Source organism: Homo sapiens, chromosome 11 (genome assembly GCF_000001405.40).
Source record: "Homo sapiens chromosome 11, GRCh38.p14 Primary Assembly".
NCBI classification, from domain to species: Eukaryota; Metazoa; Chordata; class Mammalia; order Primates; family Hominidae; genus Homo; species Homo sapiens.
The window spans coordinates 50,341,163-50,364,051 of NC_000011.10; the positions used below are offsets into that span (position 1 = coordinate 50,341,163).

Below are 22,889 nucleotides of genomic sequence, written 5' to 3' on the forward strand. Positions count from 1 at the left end.
AGTATATGAAACTGGTCCCTGGGAACTCCTTGATGTGTTTGGAATGTGACTGAAATTTTTATTAAACAATCATTCAGTGGTAATAAAATTTACATAAAGGGCAACCCTAACAGGAAATCTTTATATGTAGCAAAGAGGTCTTAATTTGAAACAAACAATAAAGTGCAGAATTCAATTATGTCAGGAAACAGGTCCAAGGTCATAGGATGAATGAGTCATAACCAAAACTTTAAAACTAGAAAGGTAAAACTAAATGGCATTTAAAACCTGTGCTACATTAATTTAAGGTAGCTACCGCAAGATGCAGTCATACCCAAAGGTACATAGAAATTTCTGGAGATAATCTGATTCTTTTTGGCTGTCTGGCCAACTTCATGCAATCCTCCTGTCAAGAATAATTACTGCGTAGTTCCAAATAGCTAAGAAAAAAATAATTTTGAATGTTCTCCACAAAGAAAAAATAAATATTTGAGGTGATGAATATGCTACTTAGGCTACTTTCATCATTCCACAACATACGCATGTATTGAAACATCACATTGTAACCCATAAAGATATATAACTGTTATTTGTCTATTAAAAATAATACCTTCAAAGGAAAAGGAATCTGGGCTGTCTCTTTGCCCATATTCTTGAAAATGTGTGTTCAAGTCAACAAATATGTAATGGGCTAATGGTCCTTTTATTTGCAAGGTACCTTACAAAGCCCTGAAGGACCGCCAAATAAAAAGACTCCTAATTTAAGGCAATAGTTTCCTAAAGTGGATGTGTAGGCTGGTGACATCTGAGTCATCTTGAGAACCCCAAAAGTACGTATTCCTGGGCCCCATTCCAAGCCAACAAAATCAGAATATCTAATGGTAGGATCAAGAATCTGCATTTAAAACATATTCATCAGCTGAAACTGACACAGTATAGGTTTGGTCCTACATATGCCAGAACTTCTCCGTTATAAGTGACAGATATCTAACCCCAGCTGGCTTAAACCAAAAACCTTAGTAACCTTAGTAACTGAGAAGCTCAACGAGAATAGGCTTCAGGCACAACTGGATCCAAAGGCTCAAACAATGACATCAGAGATTAGGTAGCTTCCCTACCTGTGAACTCTGCTTTCTTCTGCATTGGCTTTATTCTTATGCACCACAGAAAGTACAATCATAGCAATAATAGAATTCTTACTATGTTTGAGGCACCACACTTTACCTGTATTGTCACATTTAGTTTTTATGAAGATAATATGAGGTAGGAAGTATTATTTCCACTTCAGCAATGATGAAGCAAGCTCAGAGAGGCAACATGATTTATCCAAAGTTACACCGTGATCAAAAGAGATGGAAAGAATTGTATCCAAGGCCGTTTGCTTGTAGCTCCCACACTCTTGCCCATACTTATGTACTCAGAGGTAAAGTAGGCCAAGGATACATAAAATGCTAAAAGAAAAATGATGTCAGAAGGCAAAAGAAGGGCAAGAGAGTATAATTCAGAGGGCAATCCTTATTTGTGCTTATAGAATGTCCCATATTATCTCTCTGTAAGGCTATAATAGGCCCAGGAATCTGTACTTCGAATGTTTCTTCAGTTGGTCTAACTCACACAAGAACGGTGATTCATCATAGCTCAAGGAGATGTGCTGAAGTGTTTGCATCCATCGACAGCATGCACAGGACTATTGCTGAACTTCATTTTGGTAAAGAAGGTGTGGGGGGATCATCAGCAAAGGGGCAAAGAAAATTGTTCCAGGGCTGCTGGAAGTAGAAGGCTAACAAAATTTTTGTAGTTTCTGGCTGATAGGGGTTGATAAGACACAGACTGATGGTCTCACTATAAAGGGGGTAAAGGGAAGAAGAGTGTAACACACAGAAGCAAGATTTAATAATTAAAAGCATTTAAAGCATGAAGACAGCTGTTTATATGAGGCAAATATTAAAAATGGTTATAGGGGGTTGGGTGCGATGGCTCATACTTGTAATCTCAGCACTTTGGGAGGCTGAGGCGGGCAGATCGCCTGAGGTCAGGAGTTCAAGAACAGCCTGGCCAACGTGGTGAAACCCCATCTCTACTAAAAATACAAAAAGTAGCTGGGCGTGGTGGCACATGCTTGTAATCCTAGCTACTCAAGAGGCTGAGGCAGGAGAATTACTTGAATCTGGGAAGCGGAAGTTGCAGTAAGCCAAAATCACAGCACTGTACTCCAGCTTGGGCAACAGTGCGAGACTCCAGCTCAAAAAAAACAAAAAAATTTTAAAAAAAGTAGTTATAGGGGCCAATGAGTTCCAGATTATTTCTAACTCAGCCTGTCATAAGAAACTGTGGTGGACTGTGGACCCCATAACCCATGACTTCTGGCGTTCCAACTTTGGGTTACTCTGAAATTGGTCATATGATTTGATTTCATCATGAGACACATCAAATGAGCAGAGACTTGATAAGCACTTGTATATTAAGGAATGTCCTTTTGGAACTCTCCCTCTTGCAGTGCTAACTTGAGACTGCCATGCTGTTAGGAAGTTCAAGTTCACCACATGGAGATGAAATAAGATATCATGATAAACATCCCCAGCTGATCCCAGCCTCCAGTGATCCATCAACTACATATATGATCCTAAGTCACATGTGTGACCCCGAGCAAGATCAGCAGAACAATCACTCAGCCAACCCACAGAACCCTGAAAAAATATAAATCATTATAGTTTAAACCACAAGTTTTGGGTAGCTTGTTATGCTGCTATTGATAATTAAAACAAACTGGAATATTTTCATCTAGATGGCAATCTACTCAATTGTTGAATCCTTTGTGTTTCCCTCTTTGCCCTGGTTGGTAAGAATCTCAGAGCTAAGTTGCGTGTTCATTGCTGTGTCTTTCTTCAACCAGGAATTCTCATCACAGTTGTTCCATTTCTCTTTCAGATTTTTGTCTTTTATATTAATTGGTTTGGGTCTTACTATACCTCTGGTTTTCTTTTAAACTGACTAAAATTATTTGGAAAGTAGCCAGGTTACCTGTAAAATAATAAATGAAGGTTTGCAGTGGATGAGTAAAAGAATAATGACTGCTAAAAGGAAAATAATAGTAATTATTAATATGTGACTACAACAAAATATTAATATATTTTTAAGCCAGGCTCTATTGTAAAATATTTTCATGCATCCTATTATTTAATTCATGCAGCAATTATGAACAAGTACTGCTATCCCCCATTTTACAGGTAAAGAAACTGAGGTACAAAGTTGTTGTGGCTTGCCCCAAAGTCTCATAGCTAGTCGGTGGCAGTGCCAGGGTACAATTCAGGTCTGCCCAATGTCAGAGCCCACATTCATGACCATTATGGAACATTTCTTCACAAGGCTTTTCTGTTGTGTTTAGCCTATTTTGCTGTTGTACCACAATTTACAAGACTCATGATTTGGCTCTCTGTTTGTCTGTTATTGGTGTATAAGAATGCTTGTGATTTTTGTACATTGATTTTGTATCCTGAGAATTTGCTGACGTTGCTTATCAGCTTAAGGAGATTTTGGGCTGAGACAATGGGGTTTTCTAGATACACAATCATGTCATGTGCAAATAGGGACAATTTGACTTCCTCTTTTCCTAATTGAATAGCCTTTATTTCCTTCTCCTGCCTAATTGCCCTGGCCAGAACTTCCAACACTATGTTGAATAGGAGTGGTGAAAAAAAAAAAAAAAAAAAAAAAGACAAGGAATTATCTCCTGTTAACTTTTAAGTATAAAACTTGTCATCGGGTTATTTAGTCTTGTAAAGAAAAGATTCAAAAGTCGGAAATGGAGCAGCTGTTCCTGAATCAGGCAAACATAGCATTCAAAGAAAATTAATTTTCTCCACTTTCATAAAAGAAATGCAAGCCCTAGTTTCTGATGCCACAATCATTGCAGTTAAGAAAGCCATTTTAATAACCTCATTTTGTCCTTTGATAGATGGATATTCTTTCAAATGTGTATTCTCAGAGAAACTAGTCCTTTTGCAAGACTGTCTAAATGCTCTGAAAAAAGTAAACTACTCTCTAAATAAAGGGCGTTATTGTTTGCATGTGATCCTCAAACTGTACAACCAACATATTGAATTTAGCTTTTATGCTTTTATTATTAAATGAGTACAAATTGGAAAGCAAGAGTACTGATTCTAATGATCAAGTGTGTTGAAAATTAATGAAAACCGTAAGTTTGAAAGAAGTTATTAGGCATGCCTAATGCGAACTACTTTTAACCCCAGAAGGATTAATTTTACTCTTAGGTGGTCAATTAAGAAGGAAAGGAACAAAATTTTAAAATGTGTGTTATGGAGCTAGGTCGTTGCATTTTGTATCAAAAAGGTAAAATATAAATCAGAAATTTACAATTTTTAGTTTTTACTTTATGAACAGGAAGTTGGGAATTGCAGCATTCTTTTACTTTATGTCTAACTCAAAAATTTGACAGCCTTAATGAGATTCAAAATTACATTTGTCAATTTCAATGTAAGTTCAGCCCTGAACTGTTATTTCATTAAAGTTAAATATGCCTTTTTGAGGGATATCTGCCATAGGATGGTCACTTTTCCAGTGTCTTTTATGTATATCCTGCCCAAAAGCAGGATGCTGGCCAGGTTGACCTCATGAGACTCACTCTGCCTGAAAGATTCCACTCTCCAATCAGTGAGACTGGCTTTCCATTCCCCAAAGTTAATTTGAACTTGAACAGTCCAGAAAAGTGAGGCGTTTCTCTGCCCTGATTTGTTCCTAATAACTATGTTCTCACAGGGCTAGGGCCCCTGCCAATCAGCAACCCCCATTCTGCCCCACACAAGTGCAGATACGAATCTGGCCCTACCTCTCTGGCTTTGTGTAGGCTGCAAGTGAGAGCTTTCACTGCACGAGGACAAAGCTTTCTGTTTCCTTTCAAATTGTCAATGACAAACACGCTGACAAAAATATTTTGGTACAGTTCTTTTAAATGTTCACTCTTAATGTAGTGTGGTAAGCTAATGTTTGCTAAAATAAACAAAGTGCTAAGAAAATTCTATCACTAGCAAAGCCATCACTCTATAGTTAATAATTCATGACTTGACCACCTCATAAATAATTGTTAGCCTTCTAATCTGAATGTGTGAATGGTGTGAAACAGGCCTTTCCCAAATCCCCCTTCGATATTTTGTCATCCCTGCTTGTGTGTTTTCTCCTCAGTATCATTAAATTTCAATCACCATGGATAGGGGGACAAAGTTCTGTTTACAAATTATTTCTTCTTCCCAAGGATAAGATAGTTCATGTAGGGAAAAGAAAGAGAAATCAGACTGTTACTGTGTCTATATAGAAAGGAAAGACATAGGAAAATCCATTTGGATAAAGACCTGTACTTTGAACAATTGCTTTGCTGAGATGTTGTTAATTTGTAGCTTTGCCCCAACCACTTTGCCCCAGCCACTTTGACCCAACCTGGAGCTCACAAAAACATGTGTTGTATAAAATCAAGGTTTAAGGGATGTAGGGCTGTGCAGGACGTGCCTTGTTAACAAAATATTTACAAGCAGTATACTTGGTAAAAGTCATCGCTATTCTCTAGTCTCAATAAACCAAGGGCAAAATGCACTGCGGAAAGCCACAGGGACCCCTGCCCTTGAAAGCGGGGTATTGTCCAAGGTTTCTCCCCATGTGATAGTCTGAAATATGGCCTTGTGGGATGAGAAAGACCTGACCACCCCCCAGCCCGACACCCATAAATGGTCTGTGCTGAGGTAGTTTAGTAAAAGAGGAGCCTCTTGCAGTTGAGATAGAGGAAGGCCACTGTCGCCTGCCTGCCCCTGGGAACTGAATATCTCAGCATAAAACCCAATTGTACATTTGTTCAATTCTGAGAGGAGAAAAACCACCCTGTGTTGGGAGGTGAGACATGTTTGTGGCAATGCTGCCTTGCTATTCTTTACTCCACTGAGATGTTTGGGTGGAGAGAAACATAAATCTGGCCTACGTGCACATCCAGGCATAGTACCTTCCCTTGAACTTAATTATGACATAGATTCTTTTGCTCACATGTTTTTTGCTGACCTTCTCCTTATTATCACCCTGCTCTCCTACTACATTCATTTTTGCTGAAATAATGAAAATAATAATCAATAAAAACTGAGGGAGCTCAGAGGCCAGTGCCAGTGCAGGTCCTTGGTGTGCTGAGTGCTGGTCCCTTGGGCCCACTGTTCTTTCTATATACTTTGTCTCTGTGTCTTATTTCTTTTCTCAGTCTCTTGTCTCACCTGACTAGAAATACCCACAAGTGTGTAGGGGCAGGCCACCCCTTCAGTTCAAAGGAAGAGAAATATCACCCTGTCCTTATTTTTTTAAAGTAAGCTCCACTAGTCCCCATGCTGAAGAGAGCAATTTCTTATATTGGTGAAGAACAAATGCAGGAAAAGTTCAGTAATTCTCCAAGGTTGTTGACAGCTTTTGCTCCCATCCTAGAATTCAAACCACAACAAAGAACCACTCCAAAGTTACCAAACTAAAGAGTTCTCAAATTTTAGTTAATAAGGTTTCTGCCTATCCCAAGTCCACCGGGTACCAGAAAATGTTTCTGTAAATGAAAAAAATAACATTTTAAATATATATTCTTCTCCATGCCCCCTAAACTATTATTTACTTTCAACTAAGAGAGAAGAAAAGAGAAAACAAAGATAGACCCCCCCCAGACTTGATCATTTTTCTACATAGATTTGGGAACTGGTAGCTGAATACAGAACAAGATAATTTGTGAAAATTTTGCAGTATAAGTAAAGTCATTGACTAGTCAGTATCTTTTTCTTCTAAAATTATAGCTATTGTTTTCAGGGTAAAGGGCTCAGAAGTGGGTAATGAACTTCTAAAACTGCTATTTGGTGTGACTTGGCTAAACTGTAAAGCTGAGAAAAAAAAAAAATCCATGCAAGCAGGTGCTACTGAAATGAATGCCATAAATGTGAGAGCTTTAAATCATAATGGCAAGAGTAATTAAACAGAAAGGTGACCAACAAACTTAGAAAAGGGCCAGGGATACGATATAAATAATTTGTTTCAGCTGCTAGCTTGCTCTTAGAAGTGATGTGGCATGTGCTATTTTTATCTCCAAAGGGAGAGCTTTTTTTCATCCTGTAATTTTTTTTATCCAAATTGAGTATGAGAGCTTTGAGGTGAAAGGAAAATAAAAACTTGCCAATGACTCTCACAGCTCGATTTTCCTTGTACAGCCACTTCAAATTGGAGGTGTTTCATCTAACCCATCAGGGGCTGCGGGCAAATTTAGAAGTCTAAAATCCAACCATTTTTCTGGAACTAAAAAGCAAAGATACTATTGTTGAGCCACTCTTAGGGGAACAGACATTTTGAATTGGTTGGAAATACAACATAGACATACTTATGTTTGTTGAATCCTCTTTCTTCTCCTACCCCAATCCAGAATCCCCCAGAACCCTTCCACACACACCCTCATTTCCACCCCCAAACCCCACCACCCCTGCTGCAGACTCAGAAAATTGCAGCTGCTACAATGGGTCTCTAGTCACATAGAGAAAGCCATGAAGAAAAATGAAAGGATGTAGCTTTAAATCCCAGTTCTGCCTCCTCTTAGCTCTATAACATTGGAAGAGTCACTTTTTGAGCCTTGGTTTGTTGTTTGGAAAATGAGGAAGCCATAATTTCTAACTTTTGGAGGTGTTGTGAGGATTCAGTCACATGATCCACAGAAAGCTCCTGACATGGGCCTATTAGGTATGAGGAATTTCAGGTTGACTACTGATCCTAGTTCCCATCTCCCCTCATTTCCTAACTCCATTTTTGCCATCCCCAGCAACGCTGAAGTAGAGTTAAGGGAGAGTGTAGAAGAAAAGAAAAGAGAGGAAACAGGAGGGCAGAGCAAGGACACAGGCCCTGGAGCAGTCACCGTTCTTCTCCCTTCTTTTCACCCTCATGTTAACAATAGCAAACAGTAACCACAGCATTAGTGGTAGTTAACACTTTTTGAGCACTTAGTGCATTCCTGACACCACATGCAGTATCTCATTTGATACTCACGAGAAATATTATTGTTTGTTCATCACAGATCACATTAGATTTTTTGCAGCCCTGCCTATTAATTATTCACACTGAGTCTCCCCTCAGTCTAAACCTTGAAGTCTCTTCACTTCTTATACTTGTACAGTTAGTGTTAAGCATGTCTTCTGTATTGTCATTCAAGTCATTCATAAAACAGATCTCTTTCTAAACACTGTCAGCTGGTCTTTGTCCTTGTAGGTGAGTCCTTTTGGATCGCCAGTGGAGTTTGGGGGACAAATTCTATAATATATTCCCACCATTTGTAGCAATTGTCTGGGAACACCAGCTGGTCCACCTCAAGGTTCTGGAGACCTTGAGGCCAAATGGGACTTACAGTTACTCCTTGACAGAAGGGATACCCCAACTCCATTAGAAACCATATGCAGGTGCATCCCCTCCCAATGAGGGTTGAGAGGTCCTCCTCGGGTCCACCTGGTCCTTGCCTGGTCAGCCCAGACTGAGCTCTCACAGCCACATTTAGACAATTATCTAATCTTAAATACTTAAACAAGTTGAATTTCTAATGGTTTTCCTTAGCCCCTTAGAAAGAACTTATTTCTGCTTTCTTCCTTTCCTCCTACCATCACCTGCCTCTCTCTGTCTCTCTCTGTCTCCCCACCCCCTCTCTCTCTCTCTCTCTCTCTCTCTCACACACACACACACGTGCGCGTGCACGCGCTGTCCCTGTGCCTCTCTCACATCTCCATAATAGAGTCGCCTGCTCTGTGTCTCCCTTGGTTTTCCTTCATAAGGGTCTCTCTCTGCTTCTCAGGGATGACAGTGTAAAACCTGCCTCAGCTCTCCCTTTTAAGAAGACTCAGCCAGCTTTCCTTCTCCTTGTTTCCCTCTCTTGCTTTTTCTTTGAACACTCTCTCATCCCTGTGGCTGGTGTAGTTTCCAAACTCCAGACAGATACTAATATTAGGGATTTGGAAATAAGATCAAAATTCTCCAGAATACCCTAAATCATAAATTGTGATTAAAATACTTCCCATATTCCTCATGTACTAGTTCATTAGGAAGATCAAAAAATTGTTCAATAGGTAAGATACATTGGTTTAGTAAGACTATTTACAAAGAATGTAGTCTAGATTGAATATATAAGTACTAGAAAAGTTGAATATTATTGAGTGGCTTTTAAATGATGTAACATTCTAATCTTTTAAGATTAACAGCTCTACACAGAACCATGTGTAGAGATCAATTGAATAACTTATTTTGTTTTCAAAACTTTTTATTTCTTGGAACACCACCCATAGGTTTAGTAGAGAGGATAAAGGATAACATGTGAAGAACCTTAACATTCACTTTAATTGTAAAAATTTACCATTAGTGACAGACAGCATCATGAACGTGCATTTATTACATGGCTACAGCTATGAGCAAAAGTGGTGAGACAGTGATTGTTTCTCCTCTTCTTGCCCCTTTCCCAGTTACTTGAAATGTTGACTTCGACCTTCAACTCTGCATGTCAGCTTTTCCTGCTCTTGCTTTCTTCTTGACGTTACTGCATTCCTTTCAGAAGTAATGTCTCTAAGTTGAATGTTAATCTTTTATTCTCACAAGAGAATTGCAATACTTCCCCCTCTCCATTTTTCTGATTTCTAAAACCCATTTTTCTCAGGATATGGGACTCAGAAAAAAATATACAATTTTCCCAAGAAATGCCAGAAGGGAACCCTCCCATGGAAACTGTTATGATGATGAATATCTATTGTTTTGGCCTAACCAAGAATAATTTCCCCTTCTTTTAGAAGGAGCACTGTGGTTTTTGTTTGTGGAACTTCCCTTTCCCACTCTGTGTGGCTGATAACCTTGGTGCCCCACTTCCGCAAGTAGCAAACAGATCTACCACATCCTTTCTGATGGTTTCATCCCAGTCCATTGACTATGTGTACTATGGCATAGTTACCTGGTCCCTTATTCAGACATGATTCGAGACATTTAGCAGCTATTAGTTGTGGGTATGGAGCTCCAGCTAAGATGTAAAGACAAGGTCAAAGGTACTAGATGCTGAGTCTTCTCATTGGCAAAAAAAGACAAGAAGACAAGATTCTAAAAGTTTCATTGGTTGCTGCTCTGCCCAAATTCCCAGATGTTTGTGGCATTCCAATAAATTGTTCACTTTGCTTGTTAGCAAGTTATTTTGTTTGAACCAGGAAAACCTAACTAATTCCAATGGCTAGGAAAATAGTCTCCAGAACTACTGGCTTGGCCAAGAAAGGTTTGATCAAATGTCCATACTATATCTGCTCAAGACATTAGGCTAATTTTCTCTCTTTCATTTGGACTTGAATCTTTTTGCTCCCTATATACATTTGGCCTAAAACAGATTTATCTTACTAACAGATTAGATATCCAGGATTTTGTTGTGAGACTTCACAGAGTGACTCAAAATGTCCGCCAACCACATAGCTTTGGTAATAGATCCTAGATTAATTTTTAGCTCAAGCAACAGGAAATTTCTCTTAGGCCTTAGGGCCTTACCATGCAGAAATATTTTTGTTGGTGCATATATTAGTCAGGATTGCCCAGAGAAACAGAATCAATAGGAGATGGATAGATACATGATTGATGGATTGAATGATAGAAAGGTAGATAAAAGAGATTATTATAAATCATTGGCTCATGCAATTATGGAGGCAGAGAAGCCCCACATTCTGCCACCTGAAAACTGGAGACCCAGGCAAGCTTTTGATGTACTTCCAAGGCCTGAGAGCAAGAGAGCCAATGGGGAGCCAATCATAATCCCGAAAGGCACAAGCCCCATCACTAGAATCCTGAATGTTGAAATCCCAAGAGATCAAAATCCCCAAAATGTACTTCTGGAGAAAATTAAAATTATCTAAAATATTTATTTACATTTTTAAAGGAGGATTTATCTAAGAAACATAAAAACATGAATGAATACTTCATAGGCCACTTTATGTGATAAAATAAGCAATAATATGCATATGTTTGCAAGTATAAACACTGAGATATGCTAACAACAGTCACATGGGTATAACAGTTATGAGCAGATGTACTGTATTCATAAAGAGGTCAAAAAGGGAAATGTATAAACACATATCACTATGGTTGGTAATTGTGTGCACCTAGCTTTATAACTGAGGTCATCTGAAATACCATGACCAACCACCTAAGTCTTTTGATGGGACCAATCAAAACCATCATTTACACCATACCCCAAAGAGCTAAGATCTTGAGAAATTCTATCTTTCACAATGTAGATGTACAGAAAAGATATCTCTTTATTTATTGAAGAAGTTTCAGTATTTTTATGTATATGCATAATGTTTAAACACAGTCCACATTGTGATAATGTACTTCATGGAATCAAATTTGAAAACGCATAAAAAGTATCAGAACTGTCTAAAAGTTTCTACACCATTTACACCTCCAGTATTGAAAATGATACAAAGATGAAATGCATAGTAAGTTGTAAAAATAGTACAATTTAAAATAGTAAAAAATATACTAAGAAAGAAAACTAAAACTAAAATTTGACATATGAAAAAGTGTATTATTACAAGGACAGATTGTGGGCAATTGCACAGAGACAATCCCTAAGAACTGGCGGACTTTCATGGTCATTAACTATATTTTGAAGTCTTTCATCACAATGAATATCTGCTTTTTTCTTTTAGGGCATGGCTCTCTTCAGATAATATGTTTACGTTCATTTCCTATGTGGCACTGCTCTTTTCAAAATTCTTCCATGATTCTATGTATACTGATATGAGCATTTCCTATTAAAGCTTTCTACCTTCTGTGCCATGCTTCTACGTTGTTTAGGGTTCACAGAAATCCATTTCACGTGCCCTCATAGACAGAACACAAGTTTGGCAGAAACAGTGCTGGTGATCGAACAGCAATGCCATTGTGAACATTACATCTTCTTATCCTACTGTGCACATAATAATTTTTGAACCAGTCAGTAAGCTTTACTGGCTTCTTCAAGCAAATTCAGCTTTAATTCATTAAAACCTCCTGAAATGTCATTAGTAGGAAGGTAAATGATGCATTTTTAAACTGAAGTTTTATTTGTTGCTGTATGCTGTGGCTAATCCACTCATTTGACTTTTCCACCAAATGCAAATAAAGACAATAAGAAGATAATAATTTTGCCTACATGATGTAACTATCCTGCATACAGCTTCCCAGAATTTGGCTTTCAGGATTTCAACATTTGGGATTTTAATCTTTTGGGATTGTGAATTTCACAATTTTAGACATTGGGAATTTTGATCTTTCAGGATTTAAACTTTTGGAATTTTGATCTTTTGGAATTTCACCATTCAGGATTATGGCATTTGGAATTGTGTCTTTCAGGATTATGATCCAAACGCAAGCCACTGATGTAAATTCCAGTCTAGAGCTGAACAGCTGAGACCTAGGAGTATCGAAGGCAGGAGAAGATAAATGTCACAATTCAGGAAGTTAGGCGGAGTTAATTCAAACTTCTACATTCTTGCTCTATTCAGGCCCTCAAAGGGTTAGATGATGCACACTCAACATTAGAGATGGCCATCTGCTTTATTAGTCCACCAGTTCAAATGCTATCTCTTCCAGAAACACCATCACAGACACTCCCAGATATTTTAACCAGGTATTTGGCCCCCTGGGGGCCAGAGAAGTTGACATATAAAATTAAGTATCACAGTGTGCATAGTATTTTTACTTTAAAATGTTGTGAAACTTAGCTTGTTAATTAAAAAGTCTGTGGATTCTACTTTTAAAAAATCTGGATTTCTATTTTCTTTTAAACAGGTAAAAATATCAAGAAATGCTGAGGCCCATGTCCCAGAACAACAGTCCTTTAGGTGGATCACACATTCTCCACTACACCAAGCTCTACTCAGTAAGTTTTGCTTCTTTGCACTTACCTGCCCAGCCCCTGTTGGTGACCAGGTTTGCAACATTTGCTCTGCGTGATCCAGTGGAGCAGAGAACTAGAGTTTGAAACTAAATCCTCATTTACATATACAATTTTCTTGTGCACCTAAAAGGATAATAGATGGCTGGTAAAGAATGGGATTCAAAAATTCAGTATTCTGGGTCCAGGTCAACTTCTAATTTTTCCTCAGATCCGTTAGGCATGTGATGCATGCTGTAGGTAGCTCCTCTCCACTAAATTACCCGAGCATCCATGGGTGGATACTTCTTCCTTCTTCCTTCTCCCATGGTGCTCTGTCACCCTCCAGTGTGTTTCTCACCTACCTAGGTAAGAATGGTTCACACTATGTATCCAAGTTCCTGTTCATGGTGAGGAGGAAAGAGAGAAAGTAAAGAGGAAACAAATTGTATTTAAGGAGGTGGCTCAGCAGGTCTGCCTGTCACTTCCACTCTTGCTCCATTGGTGAGAGCTTAGTCACAAAGCATCGCTTAGCTCCTGGGAAGCATTTCTAATATTTCTAATAGGCAGCCATGTGACCTGCCAAAAAGCAGTGAGGGGCTATCACTCAAAGGAGAAAAGAGCAAATGCAAACTGGAGAATAATTGCTGTTCCCTGCTTTAATGGTCCTTTAGGGGGAAAAAAGGGGAGACAGGCCTTTTTTTCTCAGCAAACCCTTGAACATATATACACACACACACACACGCACACACACGCACGCACACACACACACACACACACACACACACACACATAACCACCACAGCCAACAACATCTATCTATATGCCCTGAATATTCACCATTTTTTTTAAACCAAACTGCAACAAACAGTGAAATTATGAGGAAATTATTTTCTTATTAACTTCATTGGACAAGAAACTCTGGCTTTCAATGCCTCTTTACAGTTCTTCCTTTTATTTATTCACATAATGGGTAAGACTTCTAATTTAATCAGTATGAAAATTAGACGTTTCCTGAAATGTTTGGAGTTGAAGAAGTCCCTCCTCATTCAATGTTTATATTTAAAAAAGAACTGACCTTAAAAAAAACCCATAAAGCTCTAGTCTATAGATAAGTACCCATGTTTGTGTATTTAAATAGAGCCTGTCATATCCATTACATCCATCAGAAAAGATGAGAGAGAAAAGCATAGTCAGGCAGTGATCTTTAATTGTTTCTTCAAATCTTTGATTAGAATTGCCTAAAATCCTTTCTCACCCAATACCATACCTGCATACAACATTTATTTATTTATTTATTTATTTATTTATTTATTTATTTATTTATGAATCCCTAGTTTTCAGGGAAACTCAGACAAACATATAAATATGAGTAAGCACTGTGATAAGTGCTGTGTATGGAATACTGTTGAATTAGGGTAAGGGAATGAATAATTAATTTGTCTGGGTGAACATTCCATTGTACCATAATTTATTTTTAATTAATTATTTATTTATTTATTTAGTTTATTATTATTATACTTTAAGTTTTAGGGTACATGTGCACAACGTGCAGGTTTGTTACATATGTATACATGTGCCATGTTGGTGTGCTGCACCCTTTAACTCGTCATTTAGCATTAGGTATATCTCCTAATGGTATCCCTCCCCTCTCCCCCAACCCCACAACAGTCCCCAGTGTGTGATGTTCCCCTTCCTGTGTCCATGTGTTCTCATTGTTCAATTCCCACCTATGACTGAGAACATGCGGTGTTTGGTATTTTGTCCTTGCGAGAGTTTGCTGGGAATGATGGTTTCCAGTTTCATCCATGTCCCTACAAAGGACATGAACTCATCATGTTTTATGGCTGTGTAGTATTCCATGGTGTATATGTGCCACATTTTCTTAATCCAGTCTATTGTTGTTGGACATTTGGGTTGGTTCCAAGTCTTTGCTGTTGTGAATAGTGCCACTATAAAAAATTAATTCAAGATGGATTAAAGGCTTACATGTTAGACCTAAAGCCATAAAAACCCTAGAAGAAAACCTAGGCAATACCATTCAGGACATAGGCATGGGAAAGGACTTCATGTCTAAAACACCAAAAGCAATGGCAACAAAAGCCAAAATTGACAAATGGGATCTAATTAAACTAAAGAGCTTCTGCACAGCAAAAGAAAATAGCATCAGAGTGAACAGGCAACCTACAGAATGGGAGAAAGTTTTTGCAACCTACTCATCTGACAAAGGGCTAATATCCAGGATCTACAATGAACTCAGATAAATTTACAAGAAAAAAACAAACAACCCCATCAAAAAGTGGGCAAAGGATATGAATAGACACTTCTCAAAAGAAGACATTTATGCAGCCAAGAAACACATAAAAAAACATTTATTTTTGAAAACATACAAGCTACCACCTATGATTTTTATTCCACTGGAAACTTTTAAGGAAATTTTACATTTAAAGCCAGTTTTTTTTTTTTGTTATACTTTAAGTTTTAGGGTATATGTGCACATTGTGCAGGTTAGTTACATATGTATACATGTGCCATGCTGGTGCGCTGCACCCACTAACTCGTCATCTAGCATTAGGTATATCTCCCAATGCTATCCCTCCCCCCCTCCCTCCACCCCACCACAGTCCCCAGAGTGTGATTTTCCCCTTCCTGTGTCCATGTGATCTCATTGTTCAATTCCCACCTATGAGTGAGAATATGCGGTGTTTGGTTTTTTGTTCTTGCGATAGTTTACTGAGAATGATGATTTCCAATTTCATCCATGTCCCTACAAAGGACAAGAACTCATCATTTTTTATGGCTGCATAGTATTCCATGGTGTATATGTGCCACATTTTCTTAATCCAGTCTATCATTGTTGGACATTTGGGTTGGTTCCAAGTCTTTGCTATTGTGAATAGTGCCGCAATAAACATACGTGTGCATGTGTCTTTATAGCAGCATGATTTATAGTCCTTTGGTTATATACCCAGTAATGGGATGGCTGGGTCAAATGGTATTTCTAGTTCTAGATCCCTGAGGAATCGCCACACTGACTTCCACAATGGTTGAACTAGTTTACAGTCCCACCAACAGTGTAAAAGTGTTCCTATTTCTCCACATCCTCTCCAGCACCTGTTGTTTCCTGACTTTAAAGCCAGTTTTTTAAGATGACTCAAAGAACATCTTTATTTCCTCTTCACAAGGAGCCATCGCATGCACACTATTTTCAAGCTTTGTGCGGGTCCCAGAAATCTCATTTTCAGAGCCACAGTGTATAATACAGAGTCACTGATGCTCTGGTTAAAGCAGGGGTTGTCAACCTGGAGCTCTGACCACTGAACATCTCTGTCACCTGACAAAGAAGTCCCTGCAACCTCTTTGAGGAGTCCCCTGACCCTCTGTGAGCATGTCTGAATCCATGCTGCATTGACTCTTTATTCCTGGATTGAGTAAAAGGGAGAAAACAATCAGGAAAACTTATAAATTTTCTATGTAACACCAATGCAACTTTCCATTCTGTTATTTCAATGTAATAGGAAGAAATCAACCAGATCAAGCTTTACACAGACAAAGCAATGATGTGCTAGGAGACGTGTGGAGTTTCGTGTTTCCACTGGACTTGCTAATCTCGTATAGTCACAGCCCTCTTCTGACCTGTATCTGGTTATATGTGAAGCAGAGGCTGTGTTGAGATGTAGTGAGATCATCATCTTTTATTAAATAAGAGGCTTTGGAAGCTTGGTTTCCCCATGTGCAGACAGGGCAATCCCAGTGCTTTCTTGGCCTGGGCATAGGACTCATTCCCTTGCTTGCTCACCCTTACCAGAGAGACATCTCTGTCCACCCTATTTAAATTGCACCCACCTTTCCTTCTGGCATCCTCTGTCTTTTTTATATAGTTATATATATCATATTTTTATGTTTATATATATAAACATTTTTGAGACAGGTTAGCTCTGCCACCCGGGCTGGAGTCCAGTGGTGTGATTACATTTCACTACAGCCACAACCTCTCTGGCTCAAGCAATCTTCCCAAGGCAGCCTCCTAAGTAGGTGGGACTATAGGTGTATGCTACCACATCCAGCTAATTTTTTAAAGTTTTTTGTAGAGACGGGGTCTCACTATGTTGCCCAGGCTGGTTTTGAACTCCTGGGTTCATGTGATCCTCCTGCCTCAACCTCCCAAAGTGCTGGGATTACAGATGTAAGCCTCCCTTTGACATTCTCTATCCTTATCCTGCTTCATTTTTCTCCATACGGCTTCTCATCACTTGATGCTGTATATATTTATTTGTTTATCATCTCTCTCTCATCAGAATTCAACATCATAAGAACAGAAACTTTATTTCATTTTGTTTGCTACTATCTCCCTGGAGCTGAGAAGACTTTCTGTCATGTAGTAAGTGGGCAATAAAGTAAGTTAGTTGTTGAGCGAACCATGAGATCGTTGTGGAAAACCTGAGAATATGTATAAAATGTTCCACACGGTACATGGCACAAAGACCCTTGACACAAATTAGTTATTTTTGTTACTGTCATCACTTTTAGACAGATACTCTAAGAATGATGACTATGATCTCATCCAGGTCTTCATGGCTTAGTGGATCTCTTTAATACACTCCCTAAGTTACAACTGCGATTCCCAGAACAGTAAAAGGAAGTAGGTGTAGCATTCTACAATTCTGGAGTCAGCACATGAGGTAAGAAAAAAATCACATATATTATGAATTGTCATTGAAGATTATTTAGGAAGACACTACATAAAAGTTCAATGTGCCATTTTTCTCTAAACCCAACCCAAACAGGTTTTCTTCCTTCATCATAAGAGTAATATGTTTAAACACCAGTGTTTTTCAAGAGGGTGAGATGCTCATACAGTAGGTGCTGAGATGAAATGTGAGGGGTGAAGAATCAAGTGTCTTCTAAGTCACTCTGGCTAAGTCACTTCATAGATGTGAAGATGGGCCAGCATTATCATCATTGCTTCATTTATGGGTTTATTCTGTCTTGGTCTTGGGCTCTCTCTCTTCTCCCTTCCACTCCACCTACTCCTTCTCTTTTTGCCAGGCATGCAGTTGAAATAGTCTGAGTTAAATGTGTGTGTTTATAGACTCAGAAGCAGTGTCATATAAGACTGTTTTGCTCAGATCATTTTCTGGTTGGAAGGACCTTTAGAAGACATCAGACCATTTTATTTTACACAAGATCCACAAGAAAAGTGGAGATAATTTGTCTAAGTCACACAGTGAGAGAGAGTTCCAGTGCTAGAAGCCAGTTCTGTGGCTCCCTAATCTGAGGAATTTTCTTCATCTTTCTCAGCTGCCTTCTAATGTGTCCCATGTAACACTGTCATTCCCCTTTCACTCTTTCCCCTTTCCAAACCATTCAACCATTCACCAAAGGGAGTGCTATGGCCTTTAGTTCTTCTCCACTTTGCTCAGGACCGAAGCATCCTCCAATGAAGGCAGCATCCTCTGCTTCTCCCTGTAACTTCTTCCGGCTCTTCCCCCTTCCTCACTGCCTCAGGAATCAGTTGTATTTCCACACAGCCTCCTGAAACTGACTCACTGCTCTGTAATCGGGCCAGTGCCTGCCTACTGCATCCTTTGGCAGCTGCTGTCATTCTTCGTGGGAGACATCATTCATGATGCCCCTGGCACATCATGACAAAACTCCAATGAGTCTATTATTTTCTTTTTGAGTCATGTTGAACAGGGGCAACTTCCTCACACAAAGATCAGGAAACACATCCAGACAGACAGCACTAATGGATAGTGCAGAGGACTTAGAAACTCCAACCATATAAACAAATCTGCATTTCTGAAATAATAAGCATTCACATATAATGCCAGATGTGTGGATTCATCTTACAGAGTTAAACCTTTCTTTTGATTCAGCTGATTGAAGACACTGTTTTTCTAGAATCTGCAAATGGACATTTGAAAGCCCTTTGAAACCTATGGGTAGAAACAGAGTATCCCTAGAAAAAACTAGAAAGTGGCTATGTGTGAAACTGCTTTGTGATATGTGGATTCATCTCACAGAATTAAACCTTTCTTTTGATTCAACAGGTTGGAAACACTCATTTTGTAGAATCTGCGAATTTACATGTGGGAGCCCATTGAGGCCTTTGGGGAAAATCTGAATATACACAAATAAAAACTAGAACAAAACTGTCTGTGAAACTGTTTTGTGATGTGTCGATTAATCTCACAGATTTAAAGATTTCTTTTAATTCAGCAGGTTGGAAAAACAGTTTTTGTAGTATTTGTGGAAGGACATTTGGGAGCCCTTTGTGGTCTATGGGAAAAACACAATATCCCAAAATAAAAACTAGAAAAAAGCTATCTGTGAAACTGCTTTGTAATGTGTGGATTAACCTCAAGGGTTAAGCCTTTCTTTTGATTCAGCAGGTTGGAAACACTCTTTTTATAGAACTTGCAAAGGGACGTTTGGGAGCCTGTTGAATCCTATGTGGAAAAAGTGAATATCCCCAGATAAAAGCTAGAAAGAAGCTATCTGTGAAACTCCTTGGTGATGTGTGGACTCATCTCACAGAGTTAAATGTTTCTTTTGATTCAGCAGGTTGGAAACACTCTTTTTGTAAGATCTGCAAAGGGATGTTTGGGAGGCCATTGATGTCTATGGGGAGAGAGTGAATTTCCCCAGATAGAAACTGGAAAGAAGCCTCTGTGAAAGTGCTTGTTGATGTGTGTATTCATCTCACAGATTTAAACATTTCCTTTGATTCAGCAGGTTGGAAACTCTCTTTTTGTCAAATCTGTGAAGAAACTTTTGGGATCCCAATGAGGTCTACAAGAAAAAACAAATATCCACAGATGAAAACTAGAAAGAAGCTGTGAAACTGCTTGGTGATGTGCAGATTCATCTCGCAGTGTTAAATCTTTCTTTTCATTCAGCAGGTTGGAGACACGCTTTTTGCAGAATATATGAAGGAACATTTTGGAACCCATTGAGGACTATGTGGAAAAACCAAATATCCCTAGAAAAAAACAAGTAAGAAGCTATCTGTGAAATGGCCTGGTCATGTGTGGATTCATTTCACAGAGTTAACTTTTCTTTTGATTCAGCAGTTTGGAGACACTTTTATATATATATATATATATATATATATATATATATATATATATATATATATATATATATAATCTGTGAAGGGACATTTTGGAGCCCATTGAGGCCTATAGGGAAAAACAGAATATCCGCAGAAAAAAAAACTTCAAATAAGGGATCAGTGAAACTACTTGTGATGTGTGGATTCATCTCACAGAATTAAACCTTTCTTTTGATTCAACAGCTGGAAACAGTCTTTTTGTAGAATCTGCAAAGGGACATTTGAAGGCCCATTGAGGCCTGGGGTTAAAACAAATATCATCAGATAGAAACTAGAAAGAAGCTATCTGTGAAACTGCTTTGTTGTGTGTGGATTCATCTCATAAAGTTAAACCTTTCTTTTGTTTCACCAGGTTGGAAAGACTCGTTTTGTAGAATCTGTGAAGGGAAAATCAAACCCCTTTGAGGCCTATGGGGAAAAACCAAATATCTCCAGATAAAAACTAGAAAGAAGCTATCTGTGAAACTGCTTTGTGATGTGTGGATTCATCTCACAGAATTAAACCTTTCTTTTGATTCAACAGGTTGGAAACACTCATTTTGTAGAATCTGCCAATGGACATTTGGGAGTCCATTGAGGCCTATGGGGAAAAACAAAATATCCTCAGATAAAAACTAGAAAGAAGTTATCTGGGAAACTGATTTGTGATGTGTGGAATCATCTCACAGTGTTAAACTTTTCTTTTGATTCAGCACATTGGAACCACTCTTTTTGTAGAATCTGCAAAGGGACATTTGGGAGCCCTTTGAGTCCTATGGGGTAAAACAGAATATCCTCGGATAAAAACTAGAAAGGAGCCATCTGTGAAACTGCCTGGTGATGTGTGGATTCATCTGACAGAGTTAAAACTTTCTTTTGATTCAGCAGGTTGGAAACACTCTTTTTGTAGAATCTGCAAAGAGACATTTCAGAGCTTGTCAAGGCCTGTCGGGAAAAAATGAATATCCTCAGATAAAAGTAGAAAGAAACTATATGTGAAGCTCCTTTGTGGCGTGTGCATTCCTCTCACAGAGTTAATCCTTCCTTTTGTTTCAGCAGGTTGGAAACACTCGTTTTGTAGAATCTGTGAGGAGACATTTGGGAGGCCATTTTGACCCATGGGGAAAAACCAAATATCCCCAGGTAAAAACTAGAAGGGAGAAATCTGTGAAACTACTTGGTGATGTGTGGATACATCTCACAGAGTTAAATCTTTCTTTTGATTTAGCAGGTTGGAACACTCTTTTTGTAGAATCTGTGAAGGTACATTTGGGAGTTCATTGTGTCCAATGGAAAAAAACTGAATATTCCCAGATAAAAGCTATAATGAAGCTATTAGTGAAACTGCTTTTTGGTGTGTGGATTAATCTTAGAGAGTTAAACTTTTCTTTGAATTCGGCAGATTGGAAACAGTTTTTTTGTAGAATTTGCAAAATGGCATTTGGGAGCCCATTGAGACCTATGGGAAAAACCCAAATGTCCCCAGATAAAAACTAGAAGGAAGCTATCTGTAAAACTGCTGGGTGACTTGTGGATTCACCTCACAGAATTACATCCTTCTTTTTACTCAGCAGCGTGGAAACATTCTTTTTTTAGAATCTGTGAAGGGTCATTTGGGAGTCCATTGAAACCTACAGGGAAAAACCGAATAGGCCCAGATAAAAAGTAGAAAGAAGCTATCTGTGAAACTGCTTGGTGATATGTGGATTCAGCCCACAGAGTTAAACCTTTATTTTGATTCAACAGGTTGGAAACACTCTTTTTGTAGATTCTGTAAAGGGATATTTGGGATTCCATTGAAGCCTATGGGGAAAAAACGATTATCCCGTATAAAAACTAGAAAGAAGCTATGTGTGATACTGCTTTGTGATGTGTGGATCCATCTCAAAGTGTTAAACTTTACTTTTTATTAAGCAAGTTGGAAACACTCTTTTTGTAAAATCTGAGAAGGAAATTTTCAAAACCCATCAAAACCTATGAGGAAAAACTGAATATTTTCAGATAAAAACAAGAAAGAAGTTATCTGTGAAACTGCTTAGCAATGAGTGGATTCATCACACAGAGTTAAAACTTTCTATTGATTAGTAGATTGGGAACACTCTTTTTGTAGATTGTGTGAAGGGATTTTTAGGAGCCTGACGAGGCTTATGGGGAAAAACTGAATGCCCCAGATAAAAACTAGAAAAAAAGCTATCTGTGAAAGTGCTTTGTGATTTGTCATTTCATCTCACAGAGTTATACCTTTATTTTGATTCAGAAGATTGTAGGCACTTTTTTTTGTAGAATCTCTGAAAGGGATTTGGGGGACAATTTAGGCCTATGGAGAAAAACCACATATCCCAAAATAAAAATTGGAAAGAAGTTATCTGTGAAACTGCTTTGTGATGTGTGGATTCATCTCACATAATTAAACCTTTCTTTTGATTCAGCAGGTTGGTAACAGACATTTTGTAGGATCTGCGAAGAGACATTTGGGAACCCATTGAGGCCTATGGGGAAAAATGGAAAATGCCCAGCTAAAAACTAGAAAGAAGCCCTATGTGAAGCTGCTTTGTGATGTGTGGATTTATCTCACAAAGTTAAGCCTTTCTTTTGATTAAGCAGGTTGGAAACACTCTTTTTGTAGCATAAGTGAAGTGACATTTTAAAGCCCATTGAATCCTACAAGGAAAAACCGAATATCCTGAGATAAAAAATAGAAAGAAGCTATCTGTGAAACAGCTTTGTGATGTGTGGATTCATTAACAGAGTTAAACCTTCCTTTTGATTTAGCAGGTTGGAAACACTCTCTTTGTAGAATATGTGAAGAAACATTTGGGAGCCAATTGAGGCCTATAGTGAAAAACCGAATATCTGCAGATAAACACTAGAAAGAAGCTATATGTG

General features: G+C 38.4%; 1 long non-coding RNA gene across 1 annotated transcript in view; it reads left to right on the forward strand.

The window, feature by feature from the left end:
* The window catches only part of LINC02750 (long intergenic non-protein coding RNA 2750), a 64,973-nt gene extending 42,600 nt beyond the window's left edge, over positions 1-22,373 (forward strand). Inside the window, exons 8-10 of the long non-coding RNA NR_183624.1 lie at positions 12,823-12,913; positions 19,813-19,906; positions 20,377-22,373. This is a non-coding gene — a long non-coding RNA (long intergenic non-protein coding RNA 2750). The remainder of the gene's footprint in view (positions 1-12,822; positions 12,914-19,812; positions 19,907-20,376) is intronic.
* Positions 22,374-22,889: the final 516 nt, after the last annotated feature.